The sequence below is a fragment of the Homo sapiens genome, chromosome 12 (genome assembly GCF_000001405.40).
Source record: "Homo sapiens chromosome 12, GRCh38.p14 Primary Assembly".
NCBI lineage: Eukaryota > Metazoa > Chordata > Mammalia > Primates > Hominidae > Homo > Homo sapiens.
Window position 1 is genome coordinate 85518986 of NC_000012.12, and position 12927 is coordinate 85531912.

The window sequence follows — 12927 nt, forward strand, 5'->3', positions numbered from 1 at the left end:
CACTCACTGTAAGCTCCTCTGACCCACACATTGGCTTCTTTAACAGCCTAGAGGCTCTCATTCATGCAGGTGAGGACAACAAAGCAGACTTTTCAAATTCAGGGCTGAAAAAGTAGCAGATATTCTTTTAGTAGAATGGGTACCAGAGATAACAGTGGTAAAAAGCTTATTATTGTTCCATTTTTAGATAACCTATCCTAAACCTCAATTGCCATGAAAGTCTCTTATTTTTATCTTCTCTTTTTTTTTTTTCCACACTTAGGGTTGATTATCCACCTTTTACTGCTTCTCATTAGTAGAACTGGATGTGACTTAAAAATGTCTAACGACCCCTGCTACAGGGAGCATGTAAGAGATGAGGTCACCTGCGTGACACAGACAAAGCAATTTAAAGGATCAAGGGTTTGTGGATTAAGAGGGAGATAGAAAGAGGAGTTGTTTGGTTAGGGAAAGAAAGGAAGAACAGTTATTGGGAGGTAGTCAGAAACCGTGCTTCTCAAAGTGACTGGTTCAGTTTGCAATGAGCTAAGTACAAGAATTGAGATTATAGCATCACCAGTTTTCAGAGAAATGCAAATAAAAATCATAATGAACTATCATCTCACTCCACTTGAAATGGCTTTTATCAAAAAAACAAAAAGTAACAGATGCTGATAAAGATGCGGAGAAAGGGAAATGTTCGTACATGGTTTAGTTCATGCAAATGTAAATTAATAGAACCAGTATGGAAAGCAGTGTGGAGTTTCTGCAAAAAACTTAAAAACAGAACTACCATGTGATTCAGGAATCTCACTATTGGGCATATATCTAAAAGAAAGGAAATTAGTATATCAAAGATGTGTCTGCACTCTCATGTTCATCATAATAGCCAAGGTATGGAATCAAGTTAAGTGAACATCAATGGATAAATGGATAAAGAAAATGTGGTGCACATACAGAATGTAATTGTATTTAGACATAAAATAATGAAATACTGTCATTTGCAACAACATGGATGAAACTGGAGGAGTGAAATAAGCCAGGCACAGAAAAACAAACATTACGTGTTTTTACTTATATATGGGAGCTACAAATTGATCTCATGAAGTTATAGATTAAAATGAAGGTTAACAGAGGGTGGGAAGGATAGTGAGGGAGTGGAGGGTTAAAAAGATATTAGCTAATGGGTTCAAAAATACAGTTAGATAGAAGGAATAAGATCCAATATTCAGTAGCACAATAGGGTGACAATAGTTAACGATAAAATTTTGTATATTTCAAAATAGCTAGAAAAGAAAATTTGGAATGTTCTTTTTTATTATTATTTATTTTATTTTATCTTGAGATGGGTCTCGCTCTGTTGCCAACGTGGAGTGCAGTGGCACGATCTCGGATTACTGCAACCTCTGCCTCCAGGTTCAAAAGATTCTCCTACCAGCCTCCTGAGTAGCTGGGACTACAGGCACGTGCCACCACATCCAGCTAATTTTTGTATTTTTTGTAGAAACGGGGTTTCACCATGTTGGCCAGGATGGTCTCGAACTCCTGACCTCATGATCTGCCCACCTCTGCCTCCCAAAGTGCTGGCATTACAGGCGTGAGCCACTGCACCCAGCCTCGGAATGTTCTTAACACAAGTGATAAATGTTTGAGGTAATTGATATCCCAGTTACTCTGATTTGATCATTACACATTGTATGCTCATAGCAAAATATAACATGTATATAATAAATATATACAACGATTACATATCCATAAAAATAAAAAATAAGCGGAGCTTAGTCCTTTAAACACTTCTAGAATGTTTACATAGCAATTTTATATCTATTGACTCTAATAGCAAAATAAAGGGGCTTGAATTTTTCATTCTCCAAAATTGTATATTGTCAGTAATTAGGATTAAAAAAAATTTACAAAAGTATTGGTCCGCAATGGACTTGAAATTAAGGAAAAAATATCTTTTACCAGAGATAGTTTAAAACACTGCTAAACATAGGTGATTGAAATAATTTTTAAAATAATAAAATTTATATTAATTACCTCACAGATTGTATAAACAAATGCACACCTACACATATAAATAGACGCCAGTTTGCAAACCACAACTTCAAAAACTTTTTAAATTGTCAAGGAAAAGCTACATATATTCAATATTTTGATGTTTTCCAAGAGTAAACTGTATTTCGATATATATATATATTTTTTTCTTTCGAGACAGTCTCCCCTCTGTTGCCTTTGCCTAGGCTGTAGTACAGTGGTACGATAACAGTTCACTGCAGCCTTGACATCCTGGGCTCAAGTGATTCTTCCACCTCAGCATCCTGAATAGTTGGGGCTACAGGTGGGCACATGATGCCTGGCTAATATTTGTATGTTTTGTAGGGTCGGGGTTTTGCCATGTTGCCCAGACTGGTCTCGAACTCCTAAGCTCAAGGGATCCTCCTACCTCAGCTTTCCAAAGTGCTGGATCTACAGGTGTAAACCACCATGCCTGGCCCCAAAACATTATATATTATTTTTCAATAATTTGATTTTTTATTGATTGTTAAATGTAGCCTTCCAGATAAGAACATTTGATCCTCACCCCCAGCCCACCTGTTTCTCCCTCAGCCTCCCCAGCTCTAGTCACCATCCAACCACCTGCTGAATCCAGATCCTCCTTTTCCCCAGCCTCCCATATTTACTCCTCTGGGTTTTCTATCCAAAGTGTTTCCTCAATTCTCAACCTGCCTTCATTCCCACCTCCACTACCTTATTACAGAGCATCATCATTTTTCAACGGCAGAAGCTGCGATAATCTTGTAAGTGGTCTTCCTCCTTCTACACCTGATTCTAGAGTTGTCTTCACGGATATGTGACCTGTGCAGTCATGGAGGGCCTCATACATAAGGGTCTCACAGTTGGTTTAATATTGTACTGTCAGCATCTTGAAATTCTTAATAGTTTTTGAACAAGAATTTCACCTCTCAAATTCCATAGCTGGTTCTGACTCTTCCCTTAATATTTCTCTCCACCAAGCAGCCAGAGTAATTTTTAAACTACAAATCAAATTTTGCATTTCCCTACTTAACACCCTCTATTCTATGCCCCCTGCCCATAACTTGTAGAAAAAAATCCACGTTCTTAACTTTTGCCTTAGAAACCCTATTTGTGTGGATCCTGCCTAACTGGCCTACTGTCTTGCCGTTTGTTTGCTCACTCCTGCCACGTTGGCCTTTTTTTAATGCTCTTCCCACAGCTGAACTCCTTCCTAGGTGCTGCGGACTGAATTGTGTCCTTCCAATTTCATATGCTGAAGCCCTAGCCCCCAACATGATAGGGCTTTTAGAAGGTAATTAGGATTGGATGATAGGTCATAAGGATTGGATGGTCATAGGATTGGATGATAGGTTATGACAGGTCACAAGGATGAGGTCCTGATCCAATAAGATTGGTGACCTTATAAGAAGAGGAAGAGAGAGAGGGAAGGCCATGTGATACCCAGCAGGAAGGCAGCCATCTGCAAGCCAGAATGAGAGCTGTCACCAGACCCTGAGCTCGCTAGCACCCTGATCTTACACTTCCACCCTTCAAAACTGTGAGGAAATAAATTCTGTTGTTTATATCACCCAGTTTATAATATTTTGTTATGGCAGCCCAAGCTAAGACAAAAGGTCACTGTGCTTTATAATCCTCAGCTTGGAAAGCCTTTGCTTCAGCTCTCTTCTTAACTGACTTCTTAAAATACTTCAGGTCTTACTTTCAATACCATCTTTTCAGTGAGGCATCCTGTAAACAGCACCACTTACTCACTTCCTACTGTATTTCTTTAATTAAGTACACTTATTATTTTATTTGTTTGTTTGTTTTTGGTTTGTCTTCTCAGCCAACCCTTCCCATCTCTATGCCACTCAATGTAATCTCCTTGAGGACAATGATGTAGTTTGCAGTTTTAGCATCTGTACCTAGAATAGTACATGGAATATGGTAATTACCCAGTAGTTATTTCTTGAACAAGTGAATGAAAGTATTCAGGCATGTTACATTAGAAGTCCTAGAGATAGAGAATTTGACTCAGTCCAGTGCCCAATGTGTTTGTGAATATTTGCCCAATAAAAGTGCCATGAAATAATTCATTTGGCATATTCATTATTCCAAAATGTTAAAAAAAAGAAACTATAAAACAGTATAGATACTAACCATTCTCTCTGATCCAGAGATAATGTTTATCAGTATATAATGTATTCAATAAATTGTAATTCTGATGTCATTCATTTATGCAAGATTATCAGAGAAGTTTTATTTAGTTTATTATAAACAAAGTTATTGTTTCCTGCCTTTGCCTTTTACTATGTGTGAACATCTGGGAGCAATATAAATCAGAGATAGTACACAAGTGTTTATAGTTCGCATATTTCTCATAACGAGTAATCTATTGTTACTTTTATGTACACACTTATGCAATGACAAAATGTAACTACAAATACAGTGATGTTCCAAGAATATGTCATTAATAACATATTCTCTCATGTCATCAGCACATTTTTACTGAGCCAGCCACACCTCAAAAAGGGTGTATGCTAAAATGTGTCCTAATACTCTATATTCAGAGTATTTTCTGTGAAACACATTAAACAGGTGTATTCCAACTGGTGTATTAAAAACTCAAGCAGACTGTCTAGACAGGCGTATCTGCTCTGACTGAATGCCAGCTCATGCTTCTCTTCTCTAGGAGGCTGTAATTAATATTGAGGTCTAGGAGAGGTTGATGAAAAGCTAATATTAAATAATTGCTAACATATAGGAGTGTTTATTATGTATTTTATATGCATCCAATCTCATAACAACCCTATGGGATAAGTCCTCTATCTTCATTATATAGAATGCAATGTGCTCGCAGTTCAAAATACATTATATTATGTAAATCATCACAACTCTATGAAAGAGTTAATGTCATTCTTACTTTATAGATAAGAAAAATGATGTTCAAGCATGGTAAAGAAGTTTTCCAAATATGCATATCTTATTTGTGGAAAAATAAGAATTGTTATTCAAATCTGTCTGGCTCCAAATCCTGAGTTCTGCTACGCCCTGATGCCTCTCAGGAAGGAGTTTAGGAAAAAGTTTAAAATTTCCACTCCAGGGGGTTGTTTCTGTTAGTTTTTCCAATACTGTCTATATTGCATGCTCTTTAATTTCCTTTTTTTTTTTTTTTTTTTTTTTTGGAGACAGAGACTCACTCTATACCCCAGCCTGGAGTGCAGTGGCACAATCTTGGCTCACTGCAACCTCTGCCTCCCAGGTTCAAGCAATTACCATGCCTCAGCCTCCCCAGTAGCTGGGATTACAGGAGCCCGCTTTCATGCCCGGCGACTTTTTGTATTTTTAGTAGAGATGGGGTTTCGCCATGTTGGCCTGTCTGGTGTCGAACTTCTGACCTCAGGTGGTCCACCCCCCTGGGCCTCCCAAAGTGCTGGGATTACAGGCATGAGCCACCACTTCTGGCTGCATGTTCTTTATGAATCTCAACTCCTAATTTCTCTTTATGAACAATTGGTCATCTAAGTCAAGACATTTTCTTACTGTTACCTCCCTCTTTATCATTATTACTAAGACAAATTAGTTCCTCCCTTTCTCAGGCCAAGTAGCCTATCACTGTCCATGTCTCTGTTAACTATGATGCGTATATTTAAGTGTTTCCATTATTTCATCTTGCTGGCTGAAAATCTAGTTTTTTTTTGTTTTTTTGTTTGTTTGTTTGTTTTTCACTAACTCATTAGGGCTGCTGCAACAAATTATTACAGAATGTTTTAAATGAACAGAACTTAATTCTTTTGCAGATTAGGAGGGCAAAATTCTGAAATCATGATTCCAACAGGATTGGTCCCTTCTGGATCCTCTGCAGGAGACTTTTCCTATTCCAAGCTTCTGGTGGTTGCCGACAATTCTGGCCATTCTTTGGCTGGTAGATACATCATTTAAATATCTGCCTCCATCTTCATTCACATGATGTTCTCTTCTCTGTGTCTCTGTGCATTATTCAGCCTACTACATTGCCTGGCTAGCCTAGCAGCCCTCATGGATCCTCCAAATTTCTCATTCTTTCTGTCAATGGGGCAAAAATGAGAGGGGCAAATATCTCTTTGATTCAAACTATTGAATCAAATCATCAACATTTTAAAATATTAAGCCAATGGCTTTTCTTTTGATTCCTCTGTCTTGTACTTCTGGTACAATCTTTCACACTGGGGCCATCTACTAACATCCAAGACACTCATCTTTGTCAAGGGCTTGTACACATTATTTTAAATATTCTTCATCCTCATTTTTCTGTCAGTAATTTCCATCTCCTCTATATCTCAGTGACTTTATCTGCAGGCTCTGCTTTATCCCCGAAGTGGAGAATCTGCCAGGATGTTAAACTCAAAAGTCTCACTTGAATCTTCAATCTGGTTATCTTTCATGTCTCTTTCGTCCTATACTGTGGTTTTTATTCTTAGTCTGGCCTCTAGTTTCTCATTTTTTCCTCCAGTATATCCAGCCCTTTTATTCATTTAGTTTTTGACATATTTACCTCTTTCCTGCTCTGGGATCTTTCCGGAAACTTTTGTTTTTCCTATATATAATAGCTTGTTTAAGCACTTAACATAGTAAAGATACCATGGAGGTATAAGAATCAAATCATGAAATAAACAAAAGTTCAAACTTAATTAAATGTCAACTTCTATCTATGTTGTCCCTCTGTAATCCTTATAATCTTCTGGTTAATCTTTCTAATTCTTCTGAAAAAAAAAAGAAATTAGTTTTACACAGCTTTTGTATTTCCAAAATAAATTTGTTTCTGAAATTATTTCTTCTTCTAGGAAGTAGGAAACTGCTTTGTAGAAATGAAAACAGAACCTTAAAAAAACTACTAGGCCAGGTGCTGTGGCTCACGCCTGTAATCCCAGCACTTTGGGAGGCCAAGATGGGTGGATCACAAAGTCAGGAGATTGAGACCATCCTGGCTAACACGATGAAACCCTGTCTCTACTAAAAATACAAAAACAAAATTAGCCAGGCATGGTGGTGGGCACCTGTAGTCCCAGCTACTTGGGAGGCTGAGGCAGGAGAATGGCGTGAACCTGTGAGGCGGAGCTTGCAGTGAGCCGAGATCGTGCCACTGAACTCCATCCTGGGGCAAAGAGTGAGACTCCATCTCAAAAACAAAAACAAAAAAACAAACAAACAAAAACTACTAGTGCCACCAAAGCTTTAAAAGTGTGTGTGTTTTTGTGTGTATATAATCAGGAGATTTATAAGATAGTGATCAATAATATGCATCAATTCTGAGTTTCTCATGAGTTCAGCCAACATGCTTAATTCTCTCAAGTTCTAATTATGCCTAAAATATGTAGCTGAGTGAGATAGTTTTTATATTTGTCCCACTCAAATCTGATGTTGAACTGTAATCTCCAATGTTGGATGTGGGGCCTGGTGGAAGGTGACTGGATCATGGGGGTGGATTTCTCATGAATGGTTTATCACCATCTCCTTGGTGCTGTTCTGGTGATAGTGAGTAAGTTCTCATGAGATCTGGTTGTTTAAAAGTATGTGGTACTTCCCCTCCAAACTCTTTCTGTCTTGCTCCTGCTTCTGTCATGTGAGATGTCTTCTTGCTCTTCGCCTTCTACCATGATTGTAAGCTTCCTGAGGCCTCCTCGGAAGCAGATGATGCCTAGGTTATGCTTCTTGTACAGTCTGCAGAACAATAAGCTCATTAAACCTCTTTTCTTTATACATTTTTCAGTCTCAAATATTTCTTTATAGGAATGCAAGAATGGCCTAATACAGAAAATTGGTACCAAAGGATGGGACATTGCTATAAACATACCTGCTATACACATACTGTGGAAGTGACTTTGGAACTGGGTAATATGCAGAGGTTGGAAGAGTTTGGAGGGCTCAAAAAAGACAGGAAGATGAGGGAAAGTTTGAAGCTTCTTAAAGACTGGTTAAATGGTTGTGACCAAAATGCTGATAGTGATATGGGCAGTAAAGTCTAGGCTGACAAGGTCTCAGATGGAAACAAGAAACTTATTGAGAACTAGAGCAAAGATTACATTTGTTATACCTTAGTAAAAAAAAGTGGCTGCATTTTGTTTATGCCCCAGGAATCTGTGGAAAGTTGAACTTGAGAGTGATAATTTAGAGTATCTGGTAGAAGAAATTACTAAGCATCAAAGCCTTCAAGATGTCACCTGGCTGCTTCTAAGAATCTATGCTCAGATATGGGAGCAAATAAATGATAAAATTGCAATTTATATTTTTTACAGGAAGCAGAGCATAAAAATTTGGATAATGTGCAGACTGTTTGTGTGACAGAGAAAGTAAAAGCATTTTTTAGAGAGAAATTAAAGCAGGCTGTGGAGTAACCACTTCCTAGAGACATTTGCATAACTGAAAAAGAGCTATGTACTAACAGCAAAGACAATGAGAAAAGGGCCTTGAAGGCATTTCTGAAATCTTCCAGGCTGCCTCTCTCGTCACAGGCCCTGAGACCTAGGAGGGAAGAATGGTTTGGCCGGCCAGGCCCAGGGTCCCATTGCCCTGCCAGCCTCTGGACACTGCTTCCCACATCCCAGCTGCTCCAGCTCCAGTCAGAGCTCAAAGGGGTCCAGTTACAGCTCAAATTGCCACTTTGGAGAATGCAAACCATAAGCCTTGGTGGCTTCCATATGGTTTTAAGCCTGAGTGAGTTGAGGCTTAGGACCCTCCACTTAAATTTCAGTGAATGTATGGAAGAATCTGAGGGTCCAGGCAGAAGCCTGCTGCAGGGACAGAGTCCTCACAGAGAACCTTTAGTAGGGCAATGCCAAGGGGAAATGTGGGGTTAGAGCCCCCACACAGAGCCCTCACTGGAGCATTGTCTAGTGGAGCTGTGAGAAAGGGGCCACCACCCTCCAGATGTGAGAATGGTAGATCCACTGGAAGCTTGCCCTCTGCACTTGGAAAAGCCACAGGCACTCAACAACCAGTGAAAGCAGGGACTGCACTTTTCAAAGCCATAGGTGCAGATCTTTCAGGTATGAACTAGTTTTTTTTTCTTATATATATCATTAAGTCTGCACAAAAATTCCCACTGTGGAATGACTAGTAATCCCCCAATTATACAAATGGGGAAAAACATACAAGGAAGTTAACTGCTCAAGATCACTAAAAAGTTAAGAGCTGAGATTTGAACCCTGGTTTGCCTGATTGCAAAGCCTGTGAGATCTCTTAATCATGATACTTCACTACAAACTATATCTGTATTAATTTTAATTCATAAGAATGAGTTAAAATAAGCTTCATGTCATTTCTCTATTAGTAAGTCATAACTCAATGTGGAAGTGTGATCTCCTAATAGACTCTGAGAGAACCAAACCCATTCTTTCTTAAAGCAGTCTGCATTGAAAAGCATTCTTACACATGGTCCTGTGAAGATCTTTTTGCCACACGTATGTACAAAACAGCAAACTCATTCCTTTAGCATTTATCAGACTGTTGTAACAATAAAGATCTGTGGTTATCTTATTCACATGTTTCTTCTTTTTTAAGTTAAATTTAAGCCAGGTGTAGTATTTTGAATTGCTGCCCATCACAAAGCCTGACCCTTGGAAGTTTCTGTACCTAGTCCCTTAAGGGGCGCAGGCATAGGCTCTGCCTCTGACTCCAGGTTTACAGGAATTTGATCACATACTGCTTCAAATGAAAACAAGCACAGCAGAGCTGCATGATTGGGGTGAGATCTACCTTGGTTCAAGTCAGATCTTTTCTGTGAAAAATCACTGTGATTTTAAGCAAATTTCTTCATCTCTCTAAGATCATCATCTTTCTCATTTATATAAACAAAATCTAATATATACCTTGCAGGGTTTTTGTGCAATTAACAGTAACAGAGATAATACACCTAGCATTCTCCTTTGAATATATTATAGAATCATATTTATCTTCCCTACCCCTATTTTAGTGATAACAGAGAAAAGGGCTTTTTTTCTTTAAAACATTTTCCCCCATACACACTGCAAACCACTGAGGCTTCTGTCTTCTTGTCTCTTAAACCTTAAGTTGGAGCACAAAATAAATATCGCTGTTAGGTAGAAATGAATTTGTGGGAAAGAGGCAAAATGATATAAAAATCTGATTGCTAAGAGTGGACTACATAAATTGCACAATTATTTGTTGTTTGATTAATGCCAGTCATTTATTGCCCCATTAAACTCTAGACCTCCAAGCAAAATCTGGAGAAGAGAAATCAGTTAATTGAGTAGATATTTATTTTAAAAAAAAGGTTTAGGAGGAAACACAATTAAAGAAGAAAACAATGAGTTGTAAACTCTGTGACAATAGGATTTCCATCATACTCCTTATGAACAAGACTTGGCTTGAAAAATGTGTCCGTTTTTTTTTCCCCAATCCTGTCAATCTCAAGATGATTTGCCTTAAAATGTTGTATTTCCCTTTAGCTACAAAAAGTTTCTTTTTATTTTTTTTGAGACAGGTTTTCGCTTGTCACCCTTTCACCCGTGCCAGAGTACAGTGGCACAGTCACATCATCTGACTACAGTCTCGACCTCCTGGCCTCAGTGCCATCCTCCCATCTCAACACTTCACCTCCCCCACCAGTCCCAAGTAGCTGGCACTACAGGCACACTCCACCACACTCAGCTAATTTTTTATTTTATTTTTATTTTTAGATACAGGGTCTCACTATGTTACCCAGACTGGTCTTAAATTCACGAGCTCAAGCAATGCTCCCACCTCGGCCTCCCAAAGTGTTGGGATTAAGGTGTGAGTCACTGTGACTGGTCTAAGTTATTCTTTGTAAGATTTTTCTTTCATGAAATTTAAATATGAGAATATATCACACTTTTAAAAGATTTTTAATAAAATATTTCTTTTGTAAGAAGTAATTTCATGTATAATTTAACACCCACTTACCTCTCAAAAAAGAATCAAAGGCATTTAGGATCATCATGAACCTGCTCATCTTAAAATATGACTAATTAGTTTAACATTATGCTTCAGGTTTTTCTTTAAATGACTCTGGAAAAGACCTTAACTGTGTATTTTCCATCCAAGTGAACTTTGAAAACAATGTAAATTGCAGTGGGTATAATAAAAGCATTTTGTTGATAATTTGACCTCACTACTGAAAAGAATGAGGAAGTTACTTTTCTTTTTATTCCTGTCACCAGGACTACAATTATATTTTTAAAAATAATTTCTTTAAAAAGGTACAAAGCTTTTATTGCTTAACATTTTGAAAGATAATTTAATTGTGGACTTAGATCTTGAGAAATTGTCAGACGCCAACTACCAAGTTTTTCAGTGAGGAGTGAAACCACGGGTGATATAACCACTTTTCTCCATTTCCAGATGGAGGGGTGGGTGTTAGGAGCTTTATTCTAGAGGGACCCTGACTGAGAGTAGGTCCAGGTTCCCAGAATACCTGATCTCTTGTCAAATTGTAGCCTGGTGATTATCTATTGTTCCCTTCACAGATACTCCTAAAAGAGTCTGTCTGTTGAGAGCAACCTTTCAGATTGAGGGATGTTCCATTGTTTCATAAATTGTAACCTTTGACTAGATGGTTATTCTACTTTCAGAGTAACTAGTAGAATTGTACCTTCAAACTCATAGCTCTTTCTTCCCTGGCCACAGGGCCACCTCCCCTTAAATAAAGGTAGGGGCAAGTTCAGAGTCCTTCTCAGCCTACTCACAGTGCCTGCTAACTCGCTTGTTGCCGTCTGGGGCCCCAGGGGCTCCGAGTGGCATAGTGTGGAAGTCACTAAGCATGTTCTTCGGCCTTTTTCTATTTATTTTATTGTATCCTTTTTGAAATTTATTTCAGACCCATCCATGAAAGTCAGTCTCCTTCTTCAGGGAATGTCCTTTCAAAAGGCAAAGTTGGCCTCTACATAAAAAATAATAAATTCTAATATTAAAGACATTTAATGGAAATATTAGATGATATTTCCCTTAATGTTTCTTTATCATGATTGGTATGATTAATTCATGGTTTCTATTAATTTTGATTAGATATGTAACACTGGACTTAGTTCTTTATTCTTGCTATATGTTTTGAGTGAATAAAAATTCTTAGTGGCATGTAAGATGTCATACTTCATGTGCATATGATCATATAATGTAGAAACATATATGTATAAGCACAGTTAACTGTGAGCTCTATAGGGCAATAAGTATTTAAGAAAGCATTCTTTCTTAAATACTGTAGATAGATTTTCTGTGTTGAAATGTTGGAGAAAAGTTTTTCACCTCTCTGTGCTTACTTTCCTCATCTACAAAATAGAGACAACAGTACATACTTAAGAGAATTAATAGGCAGGTACAAATGAAATATCACATGTAACTCAGCACTTCACTGGAACAGAGTAAGGGTTCTATAAACGCTTGTTAGTAGTATTACAAACATAAAAAATATTATGTGTAATGAAGGCTACAGGATGAGAGGTCTTGTTTAAGAAAAGTTTCTGAAGAGGCAAACAGCTGAAACTGAAAACTGATGAATGATTATCTAATATGCAATAAGCTCTGAACTGTCTTTGACTGCCTGGCTGTTTTCACTTTCTATTCATGCTTAGACACACAGAGGTAATATTCTATCCTGGGTTGCACACAATAGAGAAGGGAAAGCAATGTAATACTGTTAAACTCTGAAGGCTGAGATTAAACAGGAGCATATTTTACTTCCTGGGAATAAGAAAAAGAAATTGTATTTTCTTTCACATTTCATATGGGAAATTGATTGCTTAAGTTTGACATTTCCTTTAATTGAAACACTTTGTTGAATTACTTCTAAGTCTCCATTAAAAGTGGTGTAAGTAGTATGAAATCACTCACTCTCTAGTATATCAGTGTTTGATATTTCATTACACCTAGTATTACCCTCATATTATCTTATTCTTCTTTCTCACGTCATTACCT

General features: G+C 37.7%; 4 annotated features.

Annotated features, from left to right (window-relative positions):
- Positions 266-560: a silencer, noted in NCBI's record as "tiled region #923; K562 Repressive non-DNase unmatched - State 24:Quies". NCBI's record gives its function as "represses a minimal TATA promoter and a strong SV40 promoter by Sharpr-MPRA in K562 cells {active_cell/tissue: K562}" and the evidence as "EXISTENCE:reporter gene assay evidence [ECO:0000049][PMID:27701403]".
- Positions 8060-8561: an enhancer, noted in NCBI's record as "H3K4me1 hESC enhancer chr12:85920823-85921324 (GRCh37/hg19 assembly coordinates)". NCBI's record gives its function as "activates a minimal SCP1, AML or CMV promoter by ChIP-STARR-seq in naive H9 embryonic stem cells {active_cell/tissue: H9 hESC(naive)}" and the evidence as "EXISTENCE:reporter gene assay evidence [ECO:0000049][PMID:30033119]".
- Positions 8562-9061: an enhancer, noted in NCBI's record as "H3K4me1 hESC enhancer chr12:85921325-85921824 (GRCh37/hg19 assembly coordinates)". NCBI's record gives its function as "activates a minimal SCP1, AML or CMV promoter by ChIP-STARR-seq in naive H9 embryonic stem cells {active_cell/tissue: H9 hESC(naive)}" and the evidence as "EXISTENCE:reporter gene assay evidence [ECO:0000049][PMID:30033119]".
- Positions 12630-12689: an enhancer, noted in NCBI's record as "active region_6695". NCBI's record gives its function as "activates an Ori minimal core promoter by ATAC-STARR-seq in GM12878 lymphoblastoid cells {active_cell/tissue: GM12878}" and the evidence as "EXISTENCE:reporter gene assay evidence [ECO:0000049][PMID:35858748]".